Source organism: Homo sapiens, chromosome 3 (assembly GCF_000001405.40).
Source record: "Homo sapiens chromosome 3, GRCh38.p14 Primary Assembly".
Lineage (NCBI taxonomy): Eukaryota > Metazoa > Chordata > Mammalia > Primates > Hominidae > Homo > Homo sapiens.
This window is the reverse complement of record NC_000003.12, coordinates 77,478,895-77,494,394: the sequence shown is the minus strand read 5'-3', so window position 1 is coordinate 77,494,394 and position 15,500 is coordinate 77,478,895. Positions and strand designations below refer to the sequence as shown.

The 15,500-nt window shown below is 35.0% G+C and overlaps 1 protein-coding gene across 41 annotated transcripts in view; it reads right to left on the bottom strand.

The window, feature by feature from the left end:
* The window catches only part of ROBO2 (roundabout guidance receptor 2), a 1,743,290-nt gene that overhangs the window by 155,570 nt on the left and 1,572,220 nt on the right, over positions 1-15,500 (bottom strand). For all 41 annotated transcript variants that reach the window (NM_001378191.1, NM_001378195.1, NM_001378196.1 and 38 more), the window contains 2 exons: positions 13,176-13,296; positions 1,013-1,151 (listed from right to left, as the gene is read on the bottom strand). In NM_001378191.1, coding sequence (NP_001365120.1) covers positions 1,013-1,151; positions 13,176-13,296 — 260 coding nt within the window. The remainder of the gene's footprint in view (positions 1-1,012; positions 1,152-13,175; positions 13,297-15,500) is intronic.

Sequence of the window (15,500 nt, the reverse complement as noted above, 5' to 3'; positions counted from 1 at the left end):
CTGTTTGTCAGGCTGGTCTTGAACTCCTGACATGAAATGATCCACCTGCCTCGGCCTCCCAAAGTGTTGGGATTACAGGAGTCAGCCATCGTGCCCAGCCAAAAAATTTTTTTTAAAAAAAAGAAAAATTAGAAAAACACAGCCTGTACAATTTTATGCAGGCAGTAATTGGAGAATGCATGATGGTTATAATATCAGCAGGTAGAACTAGCAGGAAGGCATAACAAATCTTAAAGATAAAATTACTTGTGTTAAAACAACAACAACAAAAAACACTTGAATTACTTATTTCATTCTAAATGGCAAGGCCTTAAGGAAATTTCTATAACAACAAGTCAAAATTATTTTTATATATGATGAAAAGCATTTTTGAATACAGGTTAGAGTTTGAGAGATTGGGTTTGGGGGTTTTGTGATAAGAACAATAAGAAGGAGATGGAAGAGAAGGTCTCCATGAAGAGATGGAAAAAAGAAAGTGACAGAAGGTCTCTGTGTTGGAAATCCCCTATGTGAAAAATGATGCCAACTACTTGCTACCATTTCAGTGTTATGCTGACCTTTCCTTTACTCCAGGACTTACAGTCAGCCACATGCAATAGTCTTTTGTTAGTTATGCTTTGGGCCACAGAGGTGACAAAGGGTATCCAGAGGGGATGAAGCATGGGAACGGGCAGTCATTGATGGAGGCCTGCAGGGGGCATTCTGCAGGAACAGAATGGTATACCTCAAAGGGTCCAGGGGAAAGAAGGCACCCAGGAATCCTTGGTATCTGGGGATAAGAGGTGGAATGAAGAATCAAGCATTAATGTAGATACTCATTGAAAGAGTGACATTGAAAGCCTGGAGGACTTTAACATACAAACAGTAAATATGTGGCTTGCATATGTAAAAATCACATGAGTGAAAGTACCCCAAGACATAGGAGTGTTTGGTGGTGGCATTGTAGCTGTCCTTTTATTTTCTAATTATTCATTGGTTATCTAACAATCTTCCATCCATATGTTGGTCTTACCTTCCTCTTGGCAAGTCTGCATCATCCTTTTTCCACCTCACAGTTGGTTGAGGATCTCCTTGGACTTGACAACGAAATTCTACAGCTTCTTCCTCCAGTACCACCTGGTTAATTGGCCTCCTGAGAAATGTGGGTCGTTCTTGAAAAAAAAAATGAAACAATGGTAAAATGAGATAAACTATTATGCATGCTTTAAGTACATTATGAAAAAAGCAAAGGAAACCTAATTTACTTTTGGTACACAGGTACCTAACTCTGTACCTCAGCTGTGTTTTAATAAGGCCTTGTGAATCCAATGTCATTCAATAAAATAAGATATTTTGGAACAAAGGAATAGCTACAGTTTGCACATAAGACCATACAACCTTTGGAAAAAAATATTAAATTGATTTTTCAGTGAATCCCTGAGCTAAATCAGGTGGATCCTATCATAAAAAATCAGAACACTGAATTCTACAGGAAAAAGAGAGATTAAAAATGATTACAATAATCTATTATCAGGGTTCAAAGTGGGAAAACTAAAAGTTGAAAGGGATAAAAACATTTAAAAAACAAATATTAATATTCCTCAAGAATGCTAGAGAAAACCAAAAAATGTGTACTTTCACACATATGTATTACCTAGATTTTCCCACTTAAGCTATGATTTGATAAGGACTCAATATTCCCATGATTATTTTAACTTCATGTATGGAAAGATGTCTACCTGATTTTTTTTCTTAAATACAAAGACTGTCATTATTAATTGTTGCAAACTATTTATTTATCAATTTTTTGAGGTTTTCTCCAATGGTCTTCTCTTAAGTGTTTGAGATATCTACCCATTTTTTTTTACTTAATTTTATGTTTTTTATTTCTTCAGTAATCTGTTTTACTGTTTTCATCCTTTCTTCTTTTATTAATCTGTATTTGGCACTGTTAAATTGTATTCTAGCACTCTTCTACATAAGGCTAGAGAAAAATAAGTCTGTATCCATAAAAATCTTTTCCTATCCATAAGATTCTTAGCCTCTGAGGATACAAATCAAAAAGTAGTTTTATGTATCACCAGACATTGGCATTCCTTGTCCAGTTTCTTCCCTTTTGGATAATGGTCTGAGACTGGAAAAATTGTCATTTAAATTTTATTAGCCCATATCTGCAAATCACAAACAAATTCAATATTGCTACTTACTGAGGTAGAAAGAGAACTAAGCCAAGGAAAAGAAAGATGAGATCTGTAGGAAGCTGACACAATTTTTCTGGCCATCTGGACATATTTAGCCACTTAGAACTTGAGTTTCAAACCTTCTAATTTAAAATTTTGTATACAGTGGCACAAAAACTAAAATGTATTCGGCAGGAAACCTTCAAAGAAAATAAATTACTTCAAATAATAGATGTTAAGAGTATAAATAAGAGTATTTGATTTTATTGACTAAATCAAGATCCATATTTATAAAACAAATGTGTAAGTTGCAAGATAAATATTTTATTGCAATAAAACCAACTACCATTGGCATTTAGAAGGAAGACTATTGTATATCTCCAGAGAATTTGACAGTAGGGATCAAAATTTTCTGCATATGCTAGAGTATCCGTACTCTGGGACTCAAAAATCCCAAGCAATAAAACAAGACAAATAGAATTTCATCATGAAAAATTTTGTAAATGCAGAATTGACAAACGATCCATAAAAACTAAAGAAAAACACGGTTGCATCTAAAGATTTTAGACGCCCTGAATAAATTAGCAGCAAATTGTGCCCTGTAGACAACATGTCGGATAAAATAATTTAGTGTTACTTTTTTCAACTCTGTACACTATGTGCCCAAAACAGCTATTTTGGGGCTGGCATAGTTGGTATTGAGCTATCATTTCTGGTAGTTAAATAGGCAATAGGATTAATATATCCTTATGAGGGTCCCAAATGCTAATAGTAAAAAATAAATCATTCACATAGGAAGCGGGATCGACTTCTTCTGTGCTATCAGGCGCAGCTATTCATCCAAAAACTACATTAACCCAATGTTAAAGAGGTTTGAGACACTATTGATATTACTCCAGATTGAAAAATGATTCATCAAGAGGAGACCTTTCCTGTTCCCTTTGATTTTAGTGGGAGTAGCATACTACATCCTGACACTGGGATGAACAAGCTAGAGAAGTCTTTCTCTCATCCACTGACTCATTCAGCACATGTTAATGCACCCACTCCTAGAGGCTTTCACTAAGTGGTCAAGCTGGTGAATAGTGAGCAGGTTAGTTACATTGGGGAAAGTGGTGAGAGACAAAGCTAGACAGAGAGTGAGTGATAAGACCATGAAGGCCCTGTTCACCACTCAAGGACTGTGAGCTCTGCCCTGAGGTTGATAGAGAGCTATTGAAGGACTTTAAGCAAGTAAGCAACTTGTTGAATAAGCATATGAAAAAGGTCGTGTTGGTATGTCTGTGAAAGATAAATTAGAAGAGAAACATAAAGTCGTGAATTAGGTCAAAGCGTTCTTGTAAGAAATTATTTCAGCTTAAACTGACACAATGGTTCATAGGATGTCGAAAAGGGGACAGACAAGAGAGATCAAAACTGGGTGATCAGTCAGACGCATAGGGTGAAAAGGAAACTCAAGGAAATGTCTCAACTTTTCATTTAGCAAATTGAAACAGACTGGCAGGTAAAACATGGATTGTGTGTGAGTGTGGGCATGTGTGTGTGAGTTTGTGTGTGTAAGCTCCTTTCATCATAGAAATGGTAAGAATGAGAAAAATGAACCTCTTATGCCTAAGCCATTGTTCGGCAGATTTATATTACTTGAAGCCAAATAAATTTTCAATGAGATAAAGGAGGTTACTTATATAATAGGAAGAGAAATGAAGATAAATATGATCAAATCTGTAGATATAGCTATCAAATTACAAATCATCTAAATAAAGAAGGAATCAAACAGACTTTTTAAACGTGATGAAGATATTTTGCAAGAAATTAAATGCCAAAATTCTCTTAAAAGTAAAATACAGGCCGGGCGTGGTGGCTCACGCCTGTAATCCCAGCACTTTCGGAGGCCGAGGTGGGCAGATCACGAGGTCAGGAAATCGAGACCATCCTGGCTAACACGGTGAAACCCCGTCTCTACTAAAAATTAGCTGGGGCGGTGGCGGGCACCTGTAGTCCCAGCTACTCGGGAGGCTGAGGCAGGAGAATGGTGTGAACCCGGGAGGCGGAGCTTGCAGTGAGCCGAGATTGGGCCCCTGCACTCCAGCCTGGGAGACAGAGCGAGACTCCGTCCCAAAAAAAAAAAAAAAAAAAGTAAAATACAAAAGTCATGCCCATTGAAGTCCGGAACAAGACGGGCATGCCGACATTAAAAATCAGTAAGAAAAAGGAAATATGAGCCCTGAAGAAGAACCAAAGCCACCATTACTTGCAGACACTCTGCAAAATATAACAATGCAGAACAGTGGCTTCGATAATTGATAACTGCAACAAAACTAAGAAGTCCATAGGATAATTGCAGCAAAACTGACAATATTGGAAAATGTGAGATTTTAGGATACATTGCAGCAAACTTATACATTGAAAAACTGTTAAGTCATTGCAATATTAAAACTATCTACCTATCTAACATGAAAAGTTTTCATGACATTATGCTGGGTATAAAATAAATTGAAAAACAATATGTGAGACCAGTTCCATTAAAATACTTATATTTTCAGGCAAAGTTTGTGTATGCTTTCCTTAACATGCTAACAGTCACAAAATCACAACATATAATTAATCCAAATGGCAAACGTTACATCAGAGATGTCTCAAAACTAAGCTGTCCCTTCCTCAAGGGGATACCATTAGGATCCCTAAGGGTTTTTTAGTCATGGTACTTGTTCTAAGCCTCATTGTTTTATATGGAGACACGTGGAGGCACTTGATTTATAATTTCAAGAAGAATCAAGATACAGGATCCCTGCTGCTGTTCAAATGAACTCAGCAGGGGTGCAGGACTTCACAATGAACCTTCTCTCTACCCTGCTACCCTCAAGCAGAGTCCAGTTGCTTAGCAACTGGATAACCACAGGAGCATATGTGGTATACAATTTTTGGAAGTCTGACATTGGCTCATGGTGAAAAATGTAATTCAATGGATAGAAAAACAAATCAAAGCAAAACAAAGGCAAAGAATAAATGAGATGAAAGTCGCCTGCACATACATGACACATCAACATGGGTTTTATACCTGGGTATTAGGATGTGCTGTCCAACATGTGACATGGGAAATTCCTGAGATACTGGAGCTTGGTCACATATTTTAAAGTATTATTCTGAGAATTTCCATAGCACCCTTTCTAACAATTATCTCTAAACTGTGTTATTCATTATTCCAATTGTTTTCTGTTAATTATACTAAACTGACCTTCTGCTTTGCAATTTTCATAATTACCCACAGAAAACATTATGTTAAAAACTGTAGGTTTGCCTAACATTTATTTAAATGGAAGAAATTTTTTGTAAGAACTATTTTCCACTTTTCTTAACCAACTTTATTTCCAGAAAATCTGAGAATCAGAAACATAAATATGAAGACTAAAGAAGTTGTACAGGCCAAAAATGTATTTCAAATGCGTTGGATCTGCAGTGGCAACCGTTACAATAAGCCAAACACAAAGCCAAGCCCCTTTCAGACACAAATTTTAAAAATTATAAGGAAGTAACTTGAGTCTCCCCTTTTGACTCAAAATCATCTCCAAAAAAATGAAAAGCTAGGTGGATTAGAAAGTAAGTTGATAATAAAACCATCCAATACATTGATAAGTGATCACACTCAATATCTATTAATGCTCCATAGAGTTTGGACAATTAGAGCTCTGTACAATTAAAATAAGTATGCATGAAAATCTTAAACTATTGAATAACAAGCAAACTTAATTTTAAAACATGTCAAAACAAGGTCACTGATTTTTTCATGTTAATACCTTATGTCTGACCACATATTGAAAAACGGGGAAGAAATCTCAAGGGTCGTTTGCTGACTGCTTATCAATTAGATCAGAGCCTCTCTGAATGGGCTGATCTCTAATTATATAACTGCAGAGTGATCAGAGGCAATGTCTTTGCCAATGCAATTAACATTTTTTTATGTGAGATTAACAGGATTTGAATCACCTGCATAACTTGCTTACAAGGTTAATCTCTCTTGGGACAGTAGTGTTGTTTGCCAGTGTGTTTCTGTAAAGTATGGCTCTCAAGTAGTCAGCCCTGTCAATTTAGTTCCAAAATGGCGTTTTGGAAAAATCCAACTTTATATACAGCTATAATAAAATCAAATGCCAAGTCTCTTGTAGTTATGTCAAAAATATTCAGAAAGCAAATATACAATTTAACACAAAATACCATAAATCTGAAATGTGGTTGCATAGTATCTCTTAAGTTACTTAGTTACATGAAAAAATTAAGTGCCCAGCAAACAAATTTCTCTTTTTAACTGTATTCAGTCATTGAAAATGGCTTTAAAATTGTCAATCACTGTGTGGTAACAGCTATTTCTCAAATGACCATAAAATTTTAAAAATAAACTTCGCTTAACATTATAAAATTAGTGTTATGGCAATAATTACATAGGTAGAGTTCTTTAAGTCCTGTAAGACCAAAGCTATGTAATAAAAGGACATTAGAGTTAACCACTGCTTGTAAACCTTATCTTGACTTCAGCTCACCCAGAAAGACCTGCCACCCTGTAGTGTCAATTAAATTGGAAGTCAGATGGCCCTGGTAGGTCTCCTTTTATTTAACTGGGCATGTATGAGGTAAGGATGGGTTTGATAGTCATTGAATGTGAATTGTCATGCCCTTCCAGAAAAAGACTGAATGATAATGATCAGGCTGTCTGAATGTGATTAAATAAATCCTGACTGCATTAGTTTCTTTTTGGCTAGAACTTTCCTTGCCTGAGAAAATTCATCCTATGAAGTAAAGACAAATATAAATAAATGTTCTCAGAGGAAAATAATGCCTCTCTCACCACATATTAGAGGCAAAATTTCATGTTATTGCTGATAACATGATATAAGAGTCCAGGTGAGAGCAGGGGCTCTGCCTATTCATTCCACCATTAGTATTTAAGCACTTAAACAGGGCATGGGACATAGCAGATGCTCAATAAATATACTCAAGAAAGGATTATATTGCCGACAACAATCTTAATAACACCTCATGTTCTTATACCACATGCTACTAATAAAATACAGATACTTCTTAAGGTGTGGGTCCTAAGGATCTTCTCTCATAGCGTTATCTCTGAATACCTCAACTACTCTCATGGTATCAACTATTATCTCTCATTCAAAGACTGAAAACCAGTATCATCAACCCCAATCTCTGTCCTCATCTTCCCCAAAATGGTTAGTTCTCAATCTGAACATCGTACTGTGAAAATAATCAGTTGGCACAGAGTTTCCAGTAATCTTTTTGGAGAATAACAACTAAATATGAATTAACAACAATAGATCATGTGCCATTTGAAAAAAGCTTCCAGCGAAAAGACAAAGAACAATGTGGTATGGAGCCATGGTGGTGGGGGATGGTGGGGAAGAGAAACTAAGAGGAAATAAAGGCAGAGAAGCATCACAAGATAATTTTACTTAAAAAAAAGTGTTATTAAAATTCTGTGATACAGCAAAAGAAACTATCAGAGTGAACGGACAACCTACACAACGGGAGAAAATATTTGCAATCTAAGCATCTGACAAAGGTCTAATATCCAGATGTACAAGGAACTTAAACAAATTTACAAGAAAAAACAAACAACCCCATTAAAAAGTGGGCAAAGAGCCTGAACAGACACTTCTCAAAAGAAGACATTCCTGTGGCTAACAAACATATGAAAAAAAGTTCAACATCACTGATTATTAGAGAAATGCAAATCAAAACCACAGTGAGATACCATCTCATGCCAGTCAGAATGGCAATTATTAAAAAGTCAAGTAACAACAGATGCTGGTGAGGTCGCAGAGAAATAGGAATGCTTTTACACAGTTGGTGGGAATGTAAATTAGTTCAACTGTTGTGGAAGACAGTGTGGTGATTCCTCAAGGATCTAGAACCAGAAATACCATTACTATTACGGGGTAGATACCCAAAGGAATATAAATCATTCTATTATAGATAGATATGCACACGTATGTTCATTGTAGCACTATTCACAATAGCAAAGACATGGAATCAACCCAAATGCCCATCATGGACTGAATAAAGAAAATGTGGTACAAATACACCATGGAATACTATGCAGTCATAAAAAGGAATCAGATCATGTCCTTTGCAGGGACACAGATGGAGCTGGAAGCCATTATCCTTAGCAAACTACTGCAGAAACAGAAAACCAAACACTGCGTGTTCTTACTTATAAGTGGGAGCTGAACAATGGTAACATATGAACACATCAGGGGAACAACACACACTGGAGCCTGTCAAAAGGGCATGGTGAGGGAGAGCATCAGAAAGAATAGCTAATGGATGTGGGACCTAATACCTAGGTGATAGGTTAATCTGTGCAGCAAACCACCATGGCACAAGTTTACCTAGGTAACAAACCTACACATCCTGCACATGGACCTGGGGCTTAATAAAAGCTGGTAAAAAAATAAAACAAAATTCAAATTACAAAAACAACACTCTCTGCTACAAGAGAAGTCATAATACCCATGAAACAAGAACAGGATGCTATAAGTAAGGAGGAATTAGAGAAAAGAAAAACCAAGGAGGTTTAAAATCTAATTGATGAAAACATGTTTGACAAAGAAAAATTTAAAAAAATTAAACATTTCATTGAATTGTTTTGTTTGAGAGTTTTCAGATTGAGACTGCTCATCAACTTACAGCACAGAAAAGAGAAGAGTGTCAAACTAAGGTAATGTATTGAACCATTTCAGAAAACTGGGGTAAAGAGACCACCAAACATTTGGGAAGAAAAGAAAAAGAAAAAGAAAACTGATCACATACAAAGATACAGGATACAGGAATCAGAATCACAGTAGACTTCTCAAGAGCATCATGAGATGCTAAATGATGTTAGAGTCACAACTGTAATACTCTGAGCAAAAATATTATTTCAGTCAAATTCCCTAACTAAAGTATAATTCTAAACTAGAACTCTAAGGTCTGGAGAGAATGAAGGCATTTTGGTTGAGAATGTGCTCCAAGCTTCAGCCAAGCAGAAAGAAGTTGAGAACCCCTTCTGAAAAGAGGGGTTAACCAAGAAAGAAACAAACATAGGATGCAGAAAACAGCAGATCCAGCATTCCAGACAAGGAAGACAAAAGCAGAATTAGGTTTACGGTGTTGACCTAAGGAATGTCTAACCAAGTCAGATCAGGCAGCCTCAGGGAAGACTGTAGTGAAGGGGACTTAATAGCTAAAGTCTAAAAAAATGATTATAGAAGATTTTATAGTTTCTGTTAGAGATTTCAAGAATTCATGACAGGTATAGAAAGCATAAGTAAATGGGAAAATGGGTTTATTATTAATTCAAAGAAGAACAAAAATAGTACCAGAAAAGAAATATGGTCATAATACTATAACATTCAACTCACAGTCAATAATATTGACATGACTATAATAACTCAAATTCTGAATATTAATATAACCAATGTTTTGAAAGTTCATAGACTAAAAAGAGAAAAAGAAGGAAAAGTGGAGGTGAGAAGGTGGGGAAGGAGCTATAAGTGGGCCAAATCATCATCTTCTATAATAGGAAGTCAAATAATGTATGAAATTGATACATCAATAAATAGCAGATTAAGCACATATTCAGAAATATGGAAACAAATCCCAGAATAATTAGATAAAACAGAACGTAAAATGATGAGAAATATATGTGTGTGTGTGTGTGTGTGTGTGTGTGTGTGTGTTTGTGTTGGGGCAAGAGATTCCTGTATTTCATTCTAAGTTTTGTAATACTTATTATATTTTACAAATGTTACACATAAAATAAGTTTTCGTGTATTGCATTCATAAACACTTAAAAATCATTTTTGAAATCCACATGTCATTTTTAAAACCCAAATTTTGGACAGCAGTTTTCTGAAATCTACTCATAATTAGAAATTGTATTATTTACTTCAACTCTACTTTCTCTGCCATCCAGGATCTTCAGAGCTTAACATATGTAAACTTCTAGGGACTATACTTCAGGAAGGTGTATAGATTGGGCCACAGATTTCAGTGCTACTGTAGACTATGATACCTACTTCTAATTTTTAGATTTGATAATGCCCAGTTAATTAGGATGTTATTTCATGACCAAAAACTATTAGAAGATCAACCACAATATGTGATTCATGGAGTATGGCACAGTAACTTTTTAAAGTTAGGTTACACCGATCATATCTTTGATATGATCAAATGGCACATTTAAAATATATAATGCTGAAATTTTAAACTATACAACTTCAAAGTACAAGCCCACTAGAATCAAAATACTTGAAGAATTCAGAAAATTCTTTTTCCTAGCAATATGTCTCGGAAAGTAGACAGCTATTATACTGGAAAAAACCCTTTATTCCTTTCATTGTTTTTCTTGACATTTACAAGTGACTTATATTTCTTGAACAATTAAATGTAACTTTATTATATATATTTTTATTATATTTATAATAATAATAGGTATCAATAAAATATAATATATTTACATCATATTTATAATAATAATATATATACTTATTTTTTTGAACAACAAAATGTAACTTGTTCTGTAAAACATATCTTAAGATAAAGATTGAACTGCAAAGGACCTTTAAAAACCTTCTGTAGCTACAGAGTGGTTATAGTAGCTAGACCTTTAAAAGTGAAATTGCTGCTCCATGAAAATAAAATTGAGGGAGGTAGAGTATGAAGTACAATCAGTTTTACTTATATAAATATTTGGTCAAAAATGATAATATGTAACAATGCTAAAATATAAAGAGTTGTATTGGAAAATGTGTATTAGATGTAGGAGCACCAGCATAAAATAAAGAAGACCTCCCTATTAATAGTACACTGTTTTTTTTTCTTTTATGTTCTCTAAGAATAGGGAGCCAAGATACAGAAGGGGTTTCTCGGGCAATACTTGTCACATCCTTGATTTGGACCATCACTTTGTTTTTTTTGTTTTTCTTTTGGATTTGGATGTTGTTTTCTTACCAATAATGGAAAGCTAGTTTTTCCTTCAACTTAATCTTGTACTTATAACCCCTCAGGTCAGTTCTGACTAGCTTACACCATCTAATAAACATTCTCCGTTTCCTAAATCAATTCTGCCAGGGGAACTGCCTCTAGACAAATTCAATCTATTTGGATAATAGCTATTTTCAAAATAATTTAGAAGTTCCCACATAACTCTTGACATGTTTAGGAATCCCCAGTAGTTCTCATCATTTCTTTAGGGAAAGTAGAGTAAATATTTCATAAGGATGTCTCATTAGTGGTAAGTCTAATTGCTTCTGTAATGACATTAAACCCTTTCAATTTCCTTCTGAAGGCAGTCTATACTGCAGTAATATAGCTTTTTTTTTTCTTTCTATTCCAGAGTTTGTGGTAGTTACAGAAAAATAGCAATGAGTGTTTCTTTAAATAGAAGAGCTATACTTGTGGGCTTTCAATGCTAACGTTCAGTGACCACTAATATCATTTCTTACCAGGCAAAACTGTGTTTTATTCATTACAGAGTGGAGCACATCTTGAGACTCTTATAGAGGACTGCATGAAATGTAGGGGCAAACTGACACTTGTCTGAGCTCTGCAGGATAGAAATTTACATGCATACTTTGAACAATTCTATTTTTTCTATTCAATTCCTTTAACAAATTATGGGATTTCTCCTAGCTTTGTCATTTGGGACTTCAAGCTGCTTAGTAGCCACAGGGAGTGTTACCAGAGATTACCTGGTGCTCAGAATGATTGAAAGGAGAGGCCTGCATTCTGGTACACATGCACAAAGCACAATCTTAACTCTTGAAATATAGTGGAAGTCATAATACAGCTCTTCTATAGTGGCACTCCCATTACACCTTGGGATGGCGTCTCCCAAGCCAGCAAAATACGTTTCTCTGGGGACCTATGCAGGGCTTTGGTGCCACACTTGGGTGTGTCCTGAAGAAATGACCAGAAATAGGGATTTTAAATCATGCACAGAAGTAGAGGATTATTTTACCGCTACTGAAAAATAATTTGAAAATCACAATGATATTTTTGCTCCTAAAAAATCACATAATATCTGCTATAGTAAAATGTTTAATGAAGATTGTATATATACACATGTACATACACATACATACATATGTGTACATGTATGTGTGTGCATGTGTGGGTCTATAAATGTGTATGTCTATACAGAGATTTAAATAGAATTTAAATAGAATGTATTCTAAAAGAGTGTTTCATTTTTGAGTATCTTTAGCATATCTATTTTTTCCAATTTTTTGTCATTTTCTCTCTCTTTCAACCTTCCACAGCTGCCCTGCAGTATTTTCCTTACATTTGTTTCCTCGGCCATCTTTATTTGTCCCCAGTTTTCTCCTTTCCAATACTTTATCCACCATTTATATGATATGGTTCTAGTCAGTTTTTAACCTATTAATTGCATTTAACCAGCTAAGGAGAGCCTTGGTTCTTAAAGTTGAAGGAACATGAATATCATAACAAAATATCTCATTTTAGGGGTCCATTTTCTGATTTTGAATTTATATGTGTGCATACATAGTATATTTATCAAGAGTTGAAATTATAAATACTTCAGTTTGAATTTCTAAGAACTGGAAAACAAGTTTTTTTATACTATACTCTCTAACTTTTAAAAATCCTTACCCTGTATCTTGCACATAATAGCTACCTGATAAATGCATGAGAGTTGAATGAGTGATAAACTTTAGATAGATGTAATATCTCAAATAGACTTTGAGAAAGAACGTTACATTTTGATGAACTGCAAAATCTTACAAATACATGAACAATGTAAGTTAATTAAAGTTTCAAATAATTTTTTCTTTACATCGAAGCTTTCATTAGAAAGACAGAAAACAAGATAATTCTAATTTGTCACTGCTTACCATGAGTCATGAGTAACTGTCCTTATATGGCCCAGTTTTTAATGTTAGTAATACTTAAAAGCAAAGAAAAATTGATAAAAATAAAAATTTATAATTTAGAAGAAAGTTTTACCAAAGACAGTCAGCTCTGCTGGGTCACTGTCCCTTTCTCCCACCATATTGGTACCAACACAAGTATACATCCCTGCATCACTTTTCCTGGTATTGGAGATCATCAGTTTTCCACCACGGATCTGTTAAAATCAAACAAAAAGAAAAGAGAAGGGAAGAAAAAGGAACAGAATAGAAAATAAAGGTCATTAATAAATAGTTTTGAGTATTTGAGCATATTTGTTTCCCAAAGGAAAAAACTCTCCCATTATTTTGGCATTTGCAGGTATGTTTTCTTTTCTTAAATTCACCCTCAATGTAAGTTTCCATACTTTCTTCATAGAAAATATTTTTTAAGGCAGCTGTCCTCTCTTTCCTGATCGCATTTTGAGTCTTGTGACTGACCTCCCTAAATCCCAGTAGTTAGTCTTCACACTGAAATTCATTTGAATAAATTGCTATTGTCATTTGTCATCAGAAAGAAATACTAGATATTCATTTTAAATAATCTAATAAAATCCTGCTGAATCAGAGGGATTCAGAAAGTATATATATCCATACTTACTAGGCATATTCTGGACACTTAAGAGACAGTGGTAAATCAAACGGTAAAAATCTTTGCCTCCCTAGAATTCACATTTCAACTGTTAATATTAATCATCTTTGTTTCATCTTAATTGTATTTAAGAGATAATTCTTGGAGAAAATGGCAGGTTGGATAAAAACAAACACAGTTTATAAAATGGTAATATGTATTAGTATAAACCATTAGCATCTAATAGGTTCCCCTTCAAGATTTCTTAAATGAGAAGCATTTATTGGCTGATAAAAACAAATGCAATAATATTAAAATATGTATTTGCTAAGGAGGACATTAAAGCAGAGTTAGGCTTTCAGTAAATCTATAACTCATAGTTTCTTTTCCAGTTTTTTTTTTTTGGTACTCATTTAATTCAATATTAGCTTTACAATGATTGAGTGTTCTTGAAGAAATACAAGATAAGAACATGTTGGTTTTCTCCATTATTTTTTAATTTCACAGGCAAACACAACTCATGTACGTTGGCTCTTATCAGAGATGTTTCAAGATTTACAACTTGTCATGTTCTAGAAAGGAATTTTCAACTTTTTTTTACATAGGTGAAAAAGACCATTAACCTGTTCTCAATTCTGTCTGGTAGAATAAAATGAGAGCTTATAAAAATGGCTGTGAAGGCCATTTCTCCTTCCCCTTGAAGCTGAGAGCTAGGTAATATGACTTGATTTGACCAATGGAACTACAGCAAATACTTCACTGGAAGAAAGGTTCTTGTACATTGTGTCTTGCCTTCTCTTGCTGAGTTGGAACTGAGACCAACATGGGAACCGACTGAACTAGCCTGCTGGAAAATTAGAGATCATAAGGAGGGGAACGAAGATACCCAGCTGAGAGTCAACCAATTGCCAGACTTGTGGGTAAGGTCATCCTGGATTATTCAGCTGCCAGCACACCTTTAAATAGGCAAGAGCTAAATGCTATAAACATAAACTACCAATCCATAAACAATGATTTTACTCCATCATCAGGAGTACATTTTCATAAATTTGGTACCCAAGCAAGACCACTGAGAACAAAACTCTCTTTGGTAATGTAGATCTCACAGTGTTAATAGTGAGACTGGTGTTGGGGCTCAGAAAACGATATCCCAAAATGTGGTGCTTTGGCTTTCTGAGCACTTTGAACTAAAGGAAATTGTAAGTCATTAGAAACTTCCTTAACATCAATGTCTCTCTGACATTCCTTTGTTTCTCCCCTCCACTTGCCCCAAGAACAGAGAGGGAAGCTCTCTGAAGTTTCCTTATCTGACTGAGAAAAGTTCTTCCAAAAGAAACACAATTGCCTTAAATCCCCTGTCTGAAATCTCAGTAACCTGCAAAGATTAATCACCAAAGAAGAAACTAAAGGTCATTACCATGCCTACTGGACAGACTGTTCAACTATTCTTCTTGGGGTTGTTATCTGAGACTTTATCTACATAATAAGACAACCTTTGCTTGCAGTGCAGTTCTGCCCCTCACCTTCCCAGAACTTGTCACCACCTCTCCCAGAGGCCAGAGGAACTTTGTCTATTTGTTGGGCCCACTTATCTTCTCTGAAAATCATTTAATCTTCCTCTAAAATCACCTACTATTCCCACTTCCCTCTATCCTATGAAGAGGGTAATTAAGCTTCAACCATCTAGCCTTTCTTTGAGTTTTATACTTTGTGTGATTCCCTTGCACTTACATATAAATACATTTGTATGCTCTTCCTTCCATTAAACTGTCTATTGCCAGTTTATTTCAGCAGACTAAAAGACTTAAACCT